The sequence below is a fragment of the Homo sapiens genome, chromosome 20 (genome assembly GCF_000001405.40).
Source record: "Homo sapiens chromosome 20, GRCh38.p14 Primary Assembly".
In the NCBI taxonomy this organism is placed as follows: Eukaryota; Metazoa; Chordata; class Mammalia; order Primates; family Hominidae; genus Homo; species Homo sapiens.
Genome location: NC_000020.11, coordinates 10743349 through 10761578, shown reverse-complemented (window position 1 = coordinate 10761578; position 18230 = coordinate 10743349). Strand labels below are relative to the sequence as shown.

The 18230-nt window shown below is 40.7% G+C and overlaps 1 long non-coding RNA gene across 1 annotated transcript; it reads right to left on the bottom strand.

Annotated features, from left to right (window-relative positions):
* Positions 1-7551: 7551 nt before the first annotated feature.
* Positions 7552-8489, bottom strand: LINC01752 (long intergenic non-protein coding RNA 1752). The gene is made up of 2 exons (NR_110611.1): positions 8434-8489; positions 7552-7994 (listed from the first exon to the last, which is right to left on the bottom strand). It is a non-coding gene; the product is annotated as a long intergenic non-protein coding RNA 1752 (long non-coding RNA).
* Positions 8490-18230: the final 9741 nt, after the last annotated feature.

Below are 18230 nucleotides of genomic sequence, written 5' to 3'. Positions count from 1 at the left end.
CTTTGGGATTAGAGACAACAACGTTTCCAAATCCTTTTTTCAGATTCCTACACGAAGAAACCTCAAACCCAGGATTCAAGCCAAAAACAATGATTCTCAAGTTCCTATGAAATCCTGGATGGATGTTGAACTGGGCAACGTACTAGCTGACTCCCGTGGCAGATGCGAGCCTCAACAAAGCTCCAGGGCTGGCACTTCAAGGGAGCGGAGGTGTGTGTTTGAGTCTGAGTCACATGCAGTAGGCCATCTGCTCTTATCAACAGGATGAGTGAGTGTAAAGGAATATGAAGGCCATTTCTGAAAAGCAATTCAAAATTATATGCCTCCTATTAGCCTGACTCATGCGTTTCTCACAGCCTATAGAAAAGCTTACTGAGATGCTTTACAGAGAAACTTCCAGAAACTTACAGAAAAGTATACAAGAACAGGGATATTTCACTGTCTCTTGGGCCTAGGACAATACAAGGCAGTCAACACTATTGACTCATTCATTCGTTCACTTATTTGTTTCTTTATTTGCGTGATAAATAATCACTGATTTCTACTTCGTATTAGGTGTCAGGCTGTATTACAGCAAGGTGCCACCCTCAAGGAGCTCATAGAGCTGGTACAAACCCTAAGTAACATATGTATTATAAATATATATGTGTGTGCATACACACACACACAACTGAGTTGCCTTTTCAGTAATGTTTGTAGCAGCTCTAACAATAAAAAAGGGCAATTCAATTGAATTTTGACCAAAAGATATGCATAGGCAGTTCAAAAAAAAAAAAAAAGAAATGCAAAGGCCAGCTAAACACATGAAAGGGTGTTCACGTAGAACACCATACTAGAACAGTTTAGAACAGTGAGATACCATTTTTAGATATCAGATCTGCTGAAATTTAAAACACTGACAATATCCAGTGTCTACAGGCTCTGGAGAGCCAGACTCTTCAAACACTGTTGGCACTGGGAATATAAATCGCGATACAATTTTGAGAGCAGTAGCTATCAAAATTTTTAATGTAAGCACCCTTTAACCCTTTATTTCTGCTTGCAGACATCCTTCTCAAATCCATCTCAAGTGGACATTAATTCCTTTCCTTGCCACACAGCATTCCTTCCTCCTTCTAGTGACAAGAGCAAGGCTAACTAACACTGGGGAATCACTCCCCTTCCCCATGTCCAGTTTATGTCACAAGGCATGGCATATGCCTAGTCCTAGCCTATGTTTCTCTCTTTTTTTTTTTTTGAGAAGGAGTCTCGCTTCGTTGCCTGGGCTTGAGTGCAGTGGCGTGATCTCTGCTCACTGCAACCTCCACCTCCTGGGTTCAATCCATTCTCCTGCCTCAGCCTCCCGAGCAGCTGGGATTACAGGCGCCCGCCACCATGCCTGGCTAATTTTTGTATTTTTAGTAGAGACGGGGTTTCATCCTGTTGGCCAGGCTGGTCTCGAACTTCTGACCTCAAGTGACCCACCCATCTCAGTCTCCCAAAGTGCTGGGATTACAGGCATGAGCCACTACACCTGGCCAGCCCTGACCTATGAATGGATTACATCCTCCAGCCACAATAATTAACCTAGAGGTGGGCTTTTGATACAATTTGGGAACATTTCCTTGGGCAACTAAGAAAACTGCCCTCTGTTTTCCAATGGCCTTGGAGTTCTGAGGGTAGAAACCTGGAGCTCCTGGCAATGAAAAGGAAAGACCTGGAGAATGACACGACATGGGGGACGGGGGGGTGGGGGGATCAGTCCCTGTGACACTTCTTGAGCCCTTGGTAACTGATTCTAAAACCAGATCCACCCTTTCACCACATAAATTTGCTTTTGCTTAAGCTAGTTGAGGTTGGGTTTTCTTTTTTTTTCTTTTTTTTCTTTATTTTGAAATAGAGTTTCATTCTTGTCACCCCTGCTGGAGTGCCGTGGCAGGATCGCTCACTGCAACCTCCTCCTCCTGGGTTCAAGGGATTCTCCAGCCCTAGCCTCCCAAGTAGCTGGGATTATAGGCACCCGCCACCAGGCCTGGCTAATTTTTCTATTTTTAGTAGAGATGAGGTTTCACCATGTTGGCCAGGCTGCTCTGGAACTCCTGACCTCAGGTGATCTGCCCACCTCAGCCTCCAAAAGTGCTGGAATTACAGGCGTCAACCACCACGCCCGGCCGAGGTTGGGTTTTCTATTGCTGAAAACTAAAAAGCTCAAACAGACACATTCATCTACAGGATGGCCAGCACATGTGTGCAAGATATATGCACTCACATAGTCATTGCAGCATTTTTTTATAACAGTGGAAAAAGTATCAGGACCCTAAGTGTTCATCAATAGGAGAAATGTTTCAATAATTATAGTATATCACACTATATTATGGAATCTAAGGGTATTGTATTATTGAAAAAAAAACAAGTCACAATGCAACATGTATAATGTGATTTCATTCATGTGAAAAGGACTGTGTATAAGGATGTGTTCAAATTCACTTATCATTGTATACACAGATTGGTAAATGTATTTACATTTGTATATCTACATACTTTTAAATGTGTATATATAAAGAAAATATTTGGAGGTATGTATACCAAATAGTGGTTAGTTCTGGGAAGGAAAGTAGACCAGGATGAGAGAGAGAAGGGAGGGGAATAGGTGATGAAGGAGAAACATTTTATTCTTTCTTTTCCTGTGCTTTCCTGTGTCATTTTAAATGTTTGTTTAAAAAGAAACAAAGGGGAATCCAGACACAAACAATGTCTTATGCAAAGGCAAGAAAAAGCTGAAAGAGAATACTGAAATATTTTACGTTAGGTTCCTCCAAAAGCCAACCCTGAAGCAAGGATTCCAATGTGAGTAGTTTATTTGGAAGGTGATTCACCGGAACACTGGTAGGGAGGTGAGGAAGTAAGACAGGAAAGGAAGGAAGCAAATAAAGGATGAATCAAGCCCGAGTTACCACTGAGGGCAACTGGAACTTAATCCTGCTGGGGAACTCCATGAAGCAATGTCAAACACGTGCCTCAGAGTTATCTCACCCAAGGGAGGAAAGAGTGGAGGTATTTATACACCCATTCTTGGAAGTCACTGGTCAGGGATGCTTCCAGGGGCCATTAACTTCCTGGCACTTGAAGCCTTCCCCACACATGGGCAGAGTGGGTTGTGTCGGTCAGAGAAGCCCTTGGGCAGAGTGTCGGGTGCTGGCAGCTGGAATTTGGGCCAATGTTCATTAAAATGCTAAGTGTTGAGAGAACATACAGAGGGCGCAAAGATCATTGGCTTTGAGTGTGTTCTTCCAGGACTGATAAGGATCTTAGCGTAGATGGGGACAGATGGTGTCAGGATAGGTAAGAGAAGAGACCTGGAAAGACCAGGGTGAGGCTTGGAGGTTGAGATGACGAAGAGATCTTTTCCACCATGATAAGAACTTCTTGACAATGGGAAGCTACCAGCCTGTGTAAGTCAAGAGGTGATTAGATTAGATTCATACCTTAGAAATTCATTTTAGAACAGCGTGTCTAATTAAAGGGGTCTGGTTGTATTCAACACATTCACATGTAAAGATCCACTAATTGTGAGTGTCACAAGTAACATTCACCCCTTTAACAAATATCTGTTCGGCACTCTCTATGAATATCTATTAAGCCCCAAGAATATGTTTTCAATACTTTTTTTTGAGACAGAGTTTCACTCTGTCACCTAGGCTGGAGTGCAGTGGTGCAATCTCGGCTCACTGCAACATCTGCCTTCCAGGTTCAAATGATTCTCCTGCCTCAGCCTCCTGAGTAGCTGGGATTACAGGCACACACCACCACGCCCGGCTAATTTTTGTATTTTTAATAGAGACGGGGTTTCACCATGTTGGTCAGGCTGGTCTAGAACTCCTGACCTCGTGATCCGCCCGCCTTGGGCTCCCAAAGTGCTGGGATTACAGGCGTGAGCCACCACGCCCGGCCTTCAATACTTTTTTCAAACCGAGTGTACAAGTTATTTTTCTTAATGAAATACAGATAATTCCCTAATCATCACATGAGATCTGTTTGATTTGCAGCCTCATGTATGCTCTTGAGGGGGGAACATAGGCAAGGAGCTCCAGCCGTGGGGAATTGTGCTCATAGATGATGCTCTTTTCCTGTTAGCTGGCACATGAGCTCCATCTGTCAGCATTGAAATTGCTAAGAAATGGTGTTTATAAAATGAAATTAGAGCACACACTGAAGTCAACTGGGACCACTGGGAAGTTTGTTTATTTGTTTGTTTTTTCCAGACATTCAAGAAAGAAATAATGGTCTTGAATTCAGGCCGAATTTTCAGGTGTTGAAGGGAGGGGCTGAATCTGGGCTGGCCATTCTCCATGTGTTGCTTACCCTACCAGATTCCTTTTGCTCCCCTCTCTGCACTCTTTCTACCCCAGGAGCCTGCCTCCTATCTATGGCCTACAGCTCCTTTGCCCTGTGATTTTTGGTTGGCCTTTGCCAACTGGAAGCACTGGCAGGAAATCAGAGGATGAGAAGAGGGACAGCAAATGATGGTGGCGATTGTCTCCCTGGCTTTCGTCCCTCACTGCCCCTACACCTTTCCAGAGTCCTGGCAGTGGCTGCATCTCCTGCTTTAGCTCCCATCAGGTGGCCCTTCTTCCACAGCTCCAAGCTTAGAGATCAGGTACTTTTGGGAATTCCACTGCCACCCCTTGCACCTTATTTTCCTAAGGATGGTAAAGGCATCCTGCAGCTTGCCCTTGGGTCTTTTGCCACTGTTTGTTTGTTTGTTTGTTTGTTTGTTTGTTTTGAGATGGAGTCTCACTCCGTCACCCAGGCTGGAGTGCAGCAGCTTGATCTCAGCTCACTGCAACCTCTGCCTCCTGGGTTCAAGTGATTCTCCTGCCTCAGCCTCACGAGTAGCTGGGATTACAGGTGCCTGCCACCACACGGGCTAATTTTTGTATTTTTAGTAGAGATGGGGTTTCAACATGTTGGTCAGGCTGGTCTCGAACTCCTGAACTCAGGTGATCCACCCGCCTTGGCCTCCCAAAGTACTGGGATTACAGATGTTAGCCACTGCATCCAGCCTTGCCACTGTTACTTAGTTTTCTCCTCCCTATTCGAAAGCCAACTGTTCATTAAACCCTACCTTTCAGCCCTTTGAGTGCTCAGTTTCCTGCAGGAACTGTAATTTCTACAGAGAATAAAAGAATGTTTCAAAGGTTACATTAAGCCTGGCTAGATTTCATGATCAACTAAACATGTGCATGGGAGGTTGGGAAGAAGGAAAAGACAAAGACTTCCCAGTTTCTGGCTGGAAAAGGGAGACAGATAGTTGGCAGTGTGAGAGCTGAAGCCACACAGGAATGAGCAGGTGAAAATGCTGCATGATAAGGAGTAGGCAGAGTTGCTCACAGGTGAGTTGGCATTTTAGACATGTTGACTTGATTCTCCAAGCTGGAGATGCTGCCACTTGGACAGAGCAGTTGGAAATAGAGCGGAGGACTGGAACCGAGATTGCAGATAGATTTGGGAGAATTGAAAGCCATTAAGAAAACCTCGGGCAAACCTTGTGGCTTACACCTCCTTCCTTTTTCTCTGCATCTGCTTCTCCTCCAGCCCCACCCAAATCCTCCCCCTTCAGCCCAGATTCCCCACATCCCCACATAAGGTTACCTTTCCGGCACAGTATCCCACACTTTCAAATCTTGCCCTTTTTCATCACCAAAGATTTTCTGGTTTACAATCTTTCCAAGACCAGAATATTGTTTTCCAAAATGAAAATGAACTCCTTTGATAAAGTACCTCCTTCTAATGTAAAAATAAACTCACATATTACTGTTCCAAGAGAGGATTTGTACATTTTCAAAGGACAATGGCCAGACTACCAATTGGACAATGACTGAAGTCCTTAGTTCTCAAAGTAGGATCCCCCTCCTCCTGAAAAGACCAGAGAGTATTCTGCAGAGTGGCCAGGACTGTGGAAGAGATACGGTCCATCCTCCTGAAGCTTCATTTCCACTCAAAGATTTGCAGAATGGGTGATAATTTTATGTTACATAAAACATGAATATGTGATGGAAAAGATGCAAAGTTCCTACCAATTTTTAAGATAAAACATAAACCTCCAAAGGATTCCCTGCCAAAAGTTCACATTGAATTTGACCTGCTCATGAGGATGCTTAGTGGGAAAGGGGGTCTAAGTTGGAGAAAATTGTCTCTCCAAGGACTATTCCAAAGGCAGGAATTTCTGGACATTGGAGAGCAACTATTTTAGAGCCAGGAACTCTCATGATATTCCCACAAATCTTGCTTCTTTGGCCCACCCAGACTCCATAGACAATGCCTGTGTCTTAAGTGGCAGTCCCTTGCTTAGTTGCCTTCTCTAACTTTGGAACTTGGTGCATAAAATACCTTTCAGATAATGTAAATTCATCTACTATAAGTCTTCTTTAGGTTTTTCTGTCATACACTGAATTTTAAGTATAGCACATTTGCTTTCTTCCTGCAGAGAACATATCCTGATTCCAGGAAAGTCTGCCAGGGGAGAAAAAAAAAGTGCATACGCCAACTTCTTGAAACATTTGGCACCTGCCGCAATCACCAATAAATCTAAACTGGACAGCTTGACATTTCCTCAAACAAGACCCCACCTCTCAAAGAACATTTGTCCTAACATGAAAAACAATAAAAGCCCAGCTGATAGAATGCAAAACATTCTTCCTTGTCTAACTGCAGAAGCAAAAACAAAATAATTGCTTGCTTAGGCAGTGATTTGAGCCATTCCACCATCCATGAATGTTATGGTCCTGTTCAAATGGCATCAGTAATAACCCTCAATAATTTTCAAATTGGAAGAATTTATACACTGTGTCAACACTCTTTTTTTTTTTTTTTTCGAAACCTACCTGCCCAAAGAAAACTGCACTCTGATCTTCTTAAGCATTGTATATGCCTGAATGAGGGCTGTGGAACTCGTTGCATCCTTTTCTACTTTGTAAAAACACAGTTGTCAGTTCCGGCTTTAGAAACAATTCAACTTATAAACAATTTAATGGAGGTTTCCTGTCTCCTCCTTTCCCCTTTAACATGGAGGCTTCCTCCGTTGTTTCCAAAGGAGGACCTTAGCTTCCCCACCAAACCCCCATGCCCACCAACCCTCCTCCCTCTCTCTACGCAAGGGCTGCCAAGATCTCCCAAAAGGAGGACAGGATATAGCAGAGCCTCTTCCAGTTTCCCAATCTCTTGAGCTGCCTCTCGAAGGGCTGAAAGTTTAAGCCTCAGCAGCTTCTGAGCACATTCGTTGCAGTCAGCCACTTGAGGAATCCAATAGACCTTTGCTTGGAACATTGTTCTGTAGGAAAAATACATCCCAAATTCCAGGGGACTTTGGAACAGAACATTTTCACATGATAGCATGTGATCTACACAATATGTTAGAGTCTGATGCATGGTTTCCATGGACCTACAAGATTTCATGGGAGTTTCCTAGCAATGTCACTAACAATTAATCTAGGGGCCTTTGGGAAAGACTAGAAAGACCATCCATTTACTTTAACCATTATTAGCAAAATAGAGACAAAAAGTTCATTCTTTGAGTTTGATTTCTGTTATTTTATAATATATCAGAAATAGTCACATTGGAGGAAATCAGAACTGTTTGGGACTTCTTTTAATTCTTTCATGGGTTGACATTGTTATTTTGATTTCTATGTAGACAAACCAAGCTTAAGGCCTATTAACAATACTAAGAAGGCCTTGATATTAGATAGAGAAGAAAAGTATATTTATGCAAATACCAGCCTTGGTTTTGGTACTAAACTGGGTAACATGTGGGTGTCTGTTTTCCCATGAGTTAGGTTTGCCTAGGGCTTCCTTCCAGTTTAATGTTTCATGATTCCAATCATTTCTTCCCTGTCTTCATGCATGGTTCTCCAATGGTACCTTCCTTCCCTGGAGGAATCTTTGCCAAGAAGACTTCTGCTATAGCTACCAACATAGCTGTGCCACCTGATTCCATGGATTGGCATCTCCATCACCTAATGAAGCAGAGATAACACGGAGGACCTCAGTCAATACTATCTACAAACCTCAGTTGATATCATTTGCAAACCTCCCTGATTCAGTATTAACATTCACAATATTTAATTAGGCACCATTGAATTTCATTTACCAAATGTCAAGCAGATGACAAAATTCTCCCAATTTGATAAAATTTGATAAATTTTAATGTTGACATTAAGTCACTTTTATTTTAGAAAACAGCAAGACATCTTAGATTTTGAAAACGGAAAAGTCAATATCACCAAAGTCTGTTTGTTGGTATAAGATAAAAAATTGAGTTAATTCTTTTTGTTGTCTGTTCTTTGCGCCTCCCTTCTTTCTTTCTTTCTCTCTCTCTCTCCCTCCCTCCTTCTTTCCCTCCCTCCCTCTATCCCCCTCTCTCACACACACAAACACAAACAAATATATACTCACCATCCCTTCAATGTGTGCCAAAGGTCTCTTTTCAACAGTCAAAGCATGTTGAGCATAAAACCAAGTACTACTTGGCAGGGAGGTTTTTATTCCAAAGAACATTAGATTAAACAACCTGCTAAGTCAAAACAGCTTGCGTGAGCTTTAGAATCAGATAAAACAAAGGGTCAGCTAAACTATGGCCTATGAGCCAAATATGTCTTACCGCCTGTTTCTGTATACCTGTAAGCTAAAAATTGTCTTTACATTTTTTAAAGAGTTAAATATAATTTTTAAGTATAATATTTTAAGACACAAAAATTACAGGAAATTTGAAATTTCAGTGTTCATAAATAGTTTTATTAGAATACAACCACACCTGCTTTCCTCTATATTATCTGTGGCTGCTTTCACACTACAATAGAAGAGACTAGTAATTGCAACAAAGACCATATGACCCACAAAGCTGAAATATTTATTATCTGCCCCTTTATAGAAAAGGTTTGCCAATTCTTGCGATAGGACTGCACTTTGATTCTGCCATTTAACATCTCTGTGGCATTAAGCAAGTTTCTTACCCTCTGTGACCTCAGTTTTTATTTCTAAATTAAGTCATGATATACAACTTGCAGATATCTACAATGATGCTTGGCACCACATATATTGGTTCTTCTGCCACACCTCTTTCCCATGTCTTTCTCTATGTAGCTGTCAGAGGCAACAAGCCAACAGATGTTGGCACAGTTCAACTTGCAAAGAGGGCAGACCACATCATATCTTGGTTGCAAGGGCCTGGGCTGGGCTTCTGGGTCTGCTTTAGTAATAGTTATTTTTGGCCAGTACCTGGACTTTTTATTATTTTCCTTTCAGTGGAGGAAAAAGTGGATATTCACAAATTTGCATCTCCCACTTTTGCTAGTATACTCCTGGGAAACTCTTGAGCAAGAGGAAAGTGTGTTTTAGTTGTTAAACTGATAAAATGTATAAAAATATGTCAATAAGCACTAAAAGTTGGAGGGTCCGGGCAGCCCACTCCATGAAAATTAGAATTATGTATCCAATATGCAATTACTGCAAAGCATAACAACTCCCACAGTGAGAGCCCAAAATCACAAGGTCCTTGGAGACTTCCCTGCTGTTCTCCGGATCTCTCTGCCCACTTCATTCAAAATTTCTTTTACCACTAAGTCAACTCAACAAGGAAAATGGTACTCTGAAACCAGCTGAGCAGATGATTTCTACCTCAGAAGGAAACCACTATGTTTAGAGAAATTGAAGTACAACTCGGGTAGTTTTCTACTTAATTGGGTGGCGGCGTGTTCCTGTGGAATGAACTTTGGAAGAGGCCTGAGTTCAGATATCAGTGTGCCTCCTACAGCTTTGTGACCTTACCCATCCGGCTCTCTGACCCTCAGTCACCTTATCTGGGTAACGATGGAAATAATTTTTACCCCATAGGGTTGATATGGGATAAAATATATAAAGCATATCATGAGCTTATGAGCAATGACTAGCACAGAAATGCTGCTATCCTGACTTCCATTCCAAGTGGAATCAGGGGTTCAGGATTGCCACCATACTGAATACCTGCCAGTGCCAGGAACTATATCTATATACAAGATGCTAGTTAATATTTGCAACAGCTATGTGTAGCTGACATTTCTGGCTTCATCTTTTAGATGAAGATATTGATTAAGCCATTCTGAAATAATGATGGGAAAGTACTATTTTCTGTATGAAATGTATAAATTTAAGGACTGTAGCTGGTTGGTTCTGCTGCTAGCTTTGTTCCATAAAAATTACTAATGGTGTCCAGGGCTGAAAAGATGACAAAAATAATGTATTTAATCTTGCCAATTAAAAAAAAACTTTTTATTAAAATACAATATACAAAAAGTACCCTTAAGCATACAGTCCAATGAACTTTCACAAACTGAACACAATCTTAAAACCAGCACCCAGACTAAGAAACAGAACCTGACTAGTACCCAAGAAGTCCCCGGGAATGCTTTCTTCTGGTCACCAATACTAATTAGTATCCTGACTTCTATTTTTTGTTTGTTTGTTTGTTTGTTTGTTTGTTTGTTTGTTTTGAGATTATGCCTCACTCTATTGCCCAGGCTGGAGTGCAGTGGTGCCATCTCTGCCCACCGCAAACTCCGCCTCCCAGGTTCAAGCGATTCTTGTGCCTCAACCTCCCAAGTAGCTGGGATTACAGGCACCTGCCACCACACCCAGCTAATTTTTGTATTTTCAGTAGAGACGGGGTTTTGTCATGTTGGCCAGGCTGGTCTCGAACTCCTGGCCTCAAGCAATCTGCATGACTCAGCCTCCCAAAGTGCTGGGATTACAGGTGTGAGCCACCACATTCGACCTGCTATCCTGACTTCTAACAGCACAAATCAGTGGTGTTTGTTATACAAACTACAGTCATAGAGTGTGAGTTTTTGTGCATGTATCTGGCTTCTTTTGCTCAACATTTATGTTTATAAATAAGATTCATCTATATTGATGCATGTAATTTAGAATTATATCATGCACTCTCAATACTGTATAGCACCCCATTTTTGCAAACATGCCAGAATTTATTTATCCAATCTATTGCTGATGGGCATTAGAGTAATTCCAGTTATGAGGAGTTTGAACATTCTACTACGTGTCTTTTGGTGACTGTTTTCTGCGTTCTGTTAAGCACACACCAACAAGTGGGCTGGTTGAACAATAGCATAGCTACTTTCAGCTTTAGTAGATACTAGCAACCATTTTTCCAAAAAGGTTGTGTCAATGTATACTCCCACCAGCAGTGCATGTGAGTTCCAGTTGTCCCACTTCCTTGCCAACAGTAAGCATCTTCCATCTATTTCATTTTTGTCATGCTGGTGGGTGCCTGCTTGCATTCTTATTTTTGTCCTATATACCCAAAATATTCAAGGACAAGAATGAAAGACAAGAAGTGAGTACAGGAAGAGCAAATTGAGGGAGTATCACAAAGACTCCAAGAAAAACATGGGGGCCACAGCCACGTAATTACCGACTAGAAACCATCATTATCAAATGCATGTGGAATTCTAGTGCTCAATGACTCAGCCCCTCGCCATTGGTGTATTTAACGACAATGGTATATTTAAATTAAAATTCTACAACAGATTCCTGATTTTCCATCATCCCACCTTTGCACGTCAGAATTGCATTTTCTTCCCACCACTTTTTGGGTCTCCCAGAAGAGCCTTAATGAAATTTGTTGGCAAGGAACAAGTAGGAGAAATAGGAGAAGACTGGGCTCTGGATATAGTAACAATTGATAAACATAAATGTGTACTTCAAAATGGGAAGGAGTGGGGAGGAAGAGACCCAGGGTGTCCCTAACACATCCTGTCTATAGGGATAACATCACCAGTTGGATACACGGTAATAGTAATACCTTGCCATTGAATAGCCTTTTTCAATTTATAAAATGCTCTGTGAATCTATGGCATGCATGGCAAGAAACAGATCCTGTGAAAGCAAGGTGCTGGAGGGAGGGCTGCTGCATATCTGGCTTCACAGCAGAACCTTTACTGCGGTAATGGAGTAGAGGCTGCCCTCAGTGAATGAGGGTTTAGGACAATAACAGGAGGGGCTCATGCTCGCTCTCTCTCTCTCGGTCCCTCTGTCTGTGTCATGACATCTGACCCTGGGGTGATGCTGAAAATGGACCTCCCTCCCTGACTGTTCCCATGCAACATACATCCCTACTCTCTACAGCAACCCAAAACAGTTTCACTGCTGAATGTCTTGTAGCATGTGGCCCAGACTCCATAGCTCTTAATAATAGCCAATGCTTACTGGATGCCCACCACACACTGGGGAGTGTGCTAAACACATTACATGCATTATTTATTTTGATTTGGCTTAATTCCCACAAAACTCAGTCACACAACAGATAATTCACAAGACTCAGGATAAATCTAGCTCTCCCTCTCTACCCAGAAACCCATGTGATCTCAGGAGGACTTTTCCCTCTCCAAAACACACCCATGCCTGCTAATGCTTAAGGTCCCACAGTTTCAGCTCTGTTCCTGTGTCAAAAAGGGTTTGTACTTGTTTGATGCATTAATGTTTATTGGGCGCATTATCAACCATTGACACCTTAAGGGAACATGTTTAGAAGAAAAAAATCTTTTTGTAACCTGAGAGCCTGGGATCATGAGCTTCTGAAATGTCAGGAACGTGAACTACAGAACAATTTTCTCTTCCCTTTAGTGTTTCTAAATCCACAAATATTTTTGTAGATTTCCTTTGAGAAAACTCTCTCAGACTCCAGGGCAAAGACTAACTCAAAAGGTGAGGATGAAACAGACATCAAATTATATAAGTCCCAACATGATAGAACAAAAAATTTCCCTTTCACTCTGTACTTGGAGCTAAGTTTAATTATTTTACCCAACAACATATTAACCTCCAAATGGGTATGGTTTGAGGAAACAAAACAGACACTTGAAAAGGTCTAGATATTTCATATTTGACAGAGGCATAATGGGTCCTTACAGTCCACTGGGGTATCATTGAGATAGATGGTGATGGTTGACACCAGGCAAAGGACAAACTCAGCAGTACCACCCAGCCCCAAGCCCACCAAGATAGGAAGAGCGCTGTCTTCTTTCACCTTTCATCCTCCCCTTGCTCAATTCTCTGGTCTTACCTACCTCCAAATCATTTTCTACAATGTAGACAAAGAGAAATTTCAAAATCTGAGTGATTCTTTCCCCTGTGGTTACCCCTTTGTTCTTGGAGTAAGAATTCAAATGCTAACAGATACAAAAGTATAGTGAGAGAGGAGGAAAAAGTGCTAGTGTTCTATAGCACTATAAAGTGTCTGTAATTAACAATAATTAATTATATATTTTCAAATAGCTAGAAGAGTGGATTTTGAAGCTTCCCAACACAAATAAATGATCAAGGTTTGAGGCGATGGACGTGCTAATTACCCTGATTGGATCGTTACATATTGTATACATGTATGGAAATAACATACTGTACCCCATAAATATGTACAGTTATTAAGTGTCAATTAAAAACAATGACAAAGCAAGAAAAACATTCTAAATGCTGAACAACACCAACAATGACCTGAGGAATCTGGCTCCTACCTACTTTATTTGACCATCTCTCACCAGTGCATATGTCAGTCATTTCAATATTCTTTTAGTTCTTCATGCATAGTGAGTGCTCACCCACATTCAGGCCTCCCACCCCACCGTTCTGCACATATGCCTGGAAAAATAATTAAACTTAATTCCTGCTCCCTGTCACTGAATAAACTTTGACTTACTCCTTGGATCTCAGATTAGATTTCTGCAAGAAACCTTCGTCAGGTCCCCAAAAGTGAATAAGACCCAAGTGTTCCTAATGCCTTCCCTTGCATTAACCTCATGTCCATTGACCATAATTGCCTATTCGTTTATCTACATCTTTGAATGTCTTGTTCATTGGTGTATCCCATGTCCTAGTACAAGGCCCGCCCCACAGTAAGTGCCAAACTATTTTTTCATGTTGAATTAATTGAATAATTTGTTTATTAAAATAGGATAATTTCCTCTAACCAAAGAACAGATTGCCAAATTGCCTTCAACCTTCTAAGATAAGCTTGCTATTTCCTTTTGAGAAAAGAAAAGAGAAACTTAACGGAGAGAAGAAAGCCTAACACTCTGCAAAACTAAATGAATTAATTCCATTTAGCCAACAAGTAAATACAGGATTAGGAGTCAAACAGCGACAAAACCTCCCTTCCTTGGCATGTGTTGAATGCATGACCAGCTCTGAAATGTCTTCTATTTTCCCAGACTGCTTTTGTTGCTTAATTGTTCAGCAAAAAAAGAAGGAAATTCAGGCACTCCCAGGTCTCCCTCCCACGGAAACCTGTTTTACTAGCTGCATTTTATATGGCTGCAGAAGGCCCCAGAAGGAACTTACGGAAAAGAACAGGGGCTTAACAACCGTGCATCCTTCAGCTCCAGAACACACATTCAAGCTTGTGAGAGACTCCGGCTTGGGTGTTTTCCTTATGTTCCTCTCAGAGCTGCTGCGTCATTCATTGAACTTGTATTTTGGTACTGGTACAAAGCATTCCCTTTATGGTTCACTCCCAGTCTTAAACCTTACATGTGACCACATGTAAATGTGTATTTTTATGGTCCTATAATCTCAAGACTTTTAAATCTCTGTTGCTTAAAAGCATACAGTGAGCTGAAGTGAAAAGCTCTGGAGGTTTCTGATCATCTAGAAAACAGTTGATGTGCTGGTTCTAAGTGGCTTCATGGCTTCAGTTCTTTCAGGGACTGGACATAGCAGACAAAAGGCCCTGACACCTAATTAATTCTTCAGGGCCTTCAAAACAAAAATTCAAAGTGATCAGAAAATATGCAACCTGTTTCTAGGTAAATGCTTCAGCTGTAGACACCTGTATCTGCTTGTCCACTGGCAGGCTTCCTCCCTAGGGCCTGCTCCTTGGCTGTCTCACAGTACATCCACAGAATTGATTTTCTTCCCTGAGCTTACAGGGAAATCCTTGGGTGGCCTTAATGAAAGGTGGGATTTAAAAAAAATAAATTTTATTGTGCATATTTGAGTTTTACAACATGATGTTATGGGACACATATAGATAATAAAATGGTTACTATAGTAAAGCAAATTAACATATCTATTATCTCACATAGTTTTTTTGGTGACAAGAGCAACTGAAATCAACTTATTTAACAAAGATCTCTAATTCAATATAATTGTATTAACTTTAGTCCTCATGTTGTACATTCAATCTATAAATTTGTTCATCCTATATATCTGCAATTTTGTTCCCTTTGACCTATGTTCCCCCATTTGCTCTCCACCCTTCTTTTACCCCATGGTAACCACAGTTTTCTTCTGTGTACTTGACCTCTTTTAAAAAATATATTCCACATATAAGTGAGATCATGCAGTATTTTTCTGTGCCTGGCTTATTTCACTTAGCATAATGTTCTCCAGGTCCGCCCATGTTATGGCAAATGGCAGGATCTCTTTTTTAAGGCTGAATAATATTCCATTGTATTATGTATGTACCACATTTTCTGTATCCATTTATCAGTCGATGAACATTTAGGTGTTTCCATGTCTTGGCTATTGTGACTAGTCCTGCAATAAACACGGGAGTGCAGATATCTTTACGAGGTAGTGACTTCATGTCCCTCAGGTACATACCCAGAAGAGGGATTGCTGGGTTGTACGGTAGTTCTATTTTTAATTTCAAACTGTTTTCCATAATGGCTACATCAACCTACATTCTGAAATGTGGGAAATTTACAAGGAAAATAAAAACAGGAGAGAGGCTCAGGATGCAGGAAATGTGTTCTCTTTCTGTTCTGCAGAAAGCTTTCCTTACTTTCTCTCAACTCACATTTATTTTTCTCATCTCTCATTCTTCATTCTTATGATGAATATTTTGTGAATCCGGAGCAAGGTCTGATTTTATTCCAAAATTAGCACCATTTTTCTGGCACTGAACACAGGGGATTATGTATCAAAAGAATATTTGCAAATGTGAATTTGATGAAAACTACTGCATCTACCTCTCTATTTTGACCTCATTAAATAATTTTCTATACCCAGAACACTTGAGATGGTTTTGCATTATACAAGTTTAATTCTCATATGCATCAAAATATTTGTTTTTTAATGCCAAATTGGTCAGTTATTACTTTTTTCAAAATCTTCTTTGACTTTTGTTTCTCCTTTTTTTTTCTTCTTTCTTTTTTTTTTTTTGTTTTGAAAGAATTCATTTGTTTCTGAAAGATGGTCATACAGAAGAAAATAAGCTCAAGGCCCTCGATATTTCGGTCAAGGTCTTCACTTTCAGTTGAATAAATTCTGCATTCAAGGGCCCCACACGGAAGTGGGTGGGAATAGTTACATTTCCAGCCACTCTGCATCTCTAGCTTTAGTTTATTTGCAGTGAAAATTCCCAAGGTTTTCTTTCGTTTTATTTTGTTTTTCCATTTGCTCCCTCTCTGACCTGTACTTGTGCCAGCAAATCATTTCTGACCCAAGTGAACAATTTTACAGACAGCCCTGTTCATTTCCACTTGTTAGATTTGGCCCAAACTCAGCGGTCATGGCCTTTTGAATTTTAAGTCAATCTTAAAGTCAATTTAAGTCTCTTATCTAGAAATTGTGTTCCCTCTCAGCATTGTGTCCACAACATACTTGATGATCGTATTTTCAAATCTTCCTCTGAGGAGCTGATTACATTGTTGGTAAGGGTTGGTCAAGAAACAAGTTTTGGCATTACTATTATGATTAGATTTTGAAAGATTGGGTTTTTATTGATGCAGGTCCTCAGGTGGGCATTAAGAAAGAGTTTTGACAGTAACAAGGGATGAGAGGTGATGGAGGTGTTACATTTCCAGCACTTGAGTTTTCTAAGAACTGGCTTAGAAACAGCAATGGCTTCTGATGAAGTGAAGCAGGAACTAGCTAAAGGTTTACGAAATTGTTTTGTTTGGTATCTTGGAAAAGAAAAATGATCCCTCCTATAGCAACATCTTTATTTCATATGTCTATATTTTAAGAGTTGGCCCTGAAACAAAAAATCAGTCTAGTAGGAAGCTGATTCTTTTTTTTTTTTTTTTTTTTTTTAGACAGGGGATCACTCTGCAACCTCGGCCTCTGGAGTTCAAGTGATTCTCCCACCTCAGCCTCCTGAGTAGCTGGGACCACAAGCGTGCCACCACACCCCACTAATTTTTGTGTCTTTAGTAGAGACAGGCTTTCACCATGTTGCCCAGGCTGGCCTCAAACTCCTGAGCTCAAAGCAATCCACCTGCCTCAGCCTCCCAAAGTGCTGGGATTACAGGCGTGAGCCACCATGCTCAGCCAGAAGCTGATTCTTATTCACATTTTGGGGATTGCTGTAGATAGGTCTCTACCAGCTGGCCCCATGCATTCCAAGAACAAGCAGGCAAGCCTCTTTTCTCTTTTTGTGGAGGCCCAGATATATCTCAGAGTCTTATATTACCTTCCAAAGCAGCATGTAAAATCCGAGGTAGGAGTTTTATTTTTCTGCTTACTTACGTGTACCTAGACTTGAGCTATAAAAATACTGAAGTCGATAGTCAAATGTTAATCCAAGAAATTTTCAGATCACAATTCTCCCTCTCTGTCCTCAAGGCTTCAGCTCACTTTGATGAGTCTTAGAGTACAACATGAAATGTATGATTTTGACACCTGTGTAACATGAAGGTTTCCTTTCAATATTGTGTGTATTTATTAGGTGTTTGAAGCCTTGAAGGTATAAATAACTATGCTCTTCTGTACTCATGGGATGTGATTAAATTACATTCATGCATAAAATAATTCACATTGTGCCTTTTTCTGTGTTGTTAAATACTTGAAATCCGATCAGAACCTTCAGGAATTACCACACTTATCTTGCAAGGACATTTAGATTGTGTGAACATTCGTAACTGTCACATTCTCATGGCATTTATAATGAGAATGTAAATAAATAATGAGAGAAAGAAATTAAGCAAGGTAATGAAGTAATTATAAAAAACCAAGCTGAATCTCAAGAAAATTAAAATTGTGGATTTCATGTTAAATATTGAATCTTCTCTTTAACAAACTTTTTCATACAATCCTAACAGTTGTTTCAAGCAAGATCATTGATTAAAATTAGCAGGTGAAAGTAAGAGGGGAAACAAGATTTTTATATAGTCTCAAAGCATATCCCCACAGAATACTTACTGATTACAACAGGAGATGTGTAATTTTATAGTGGAGAAACTAGCGGACACTCCGTTAACCAA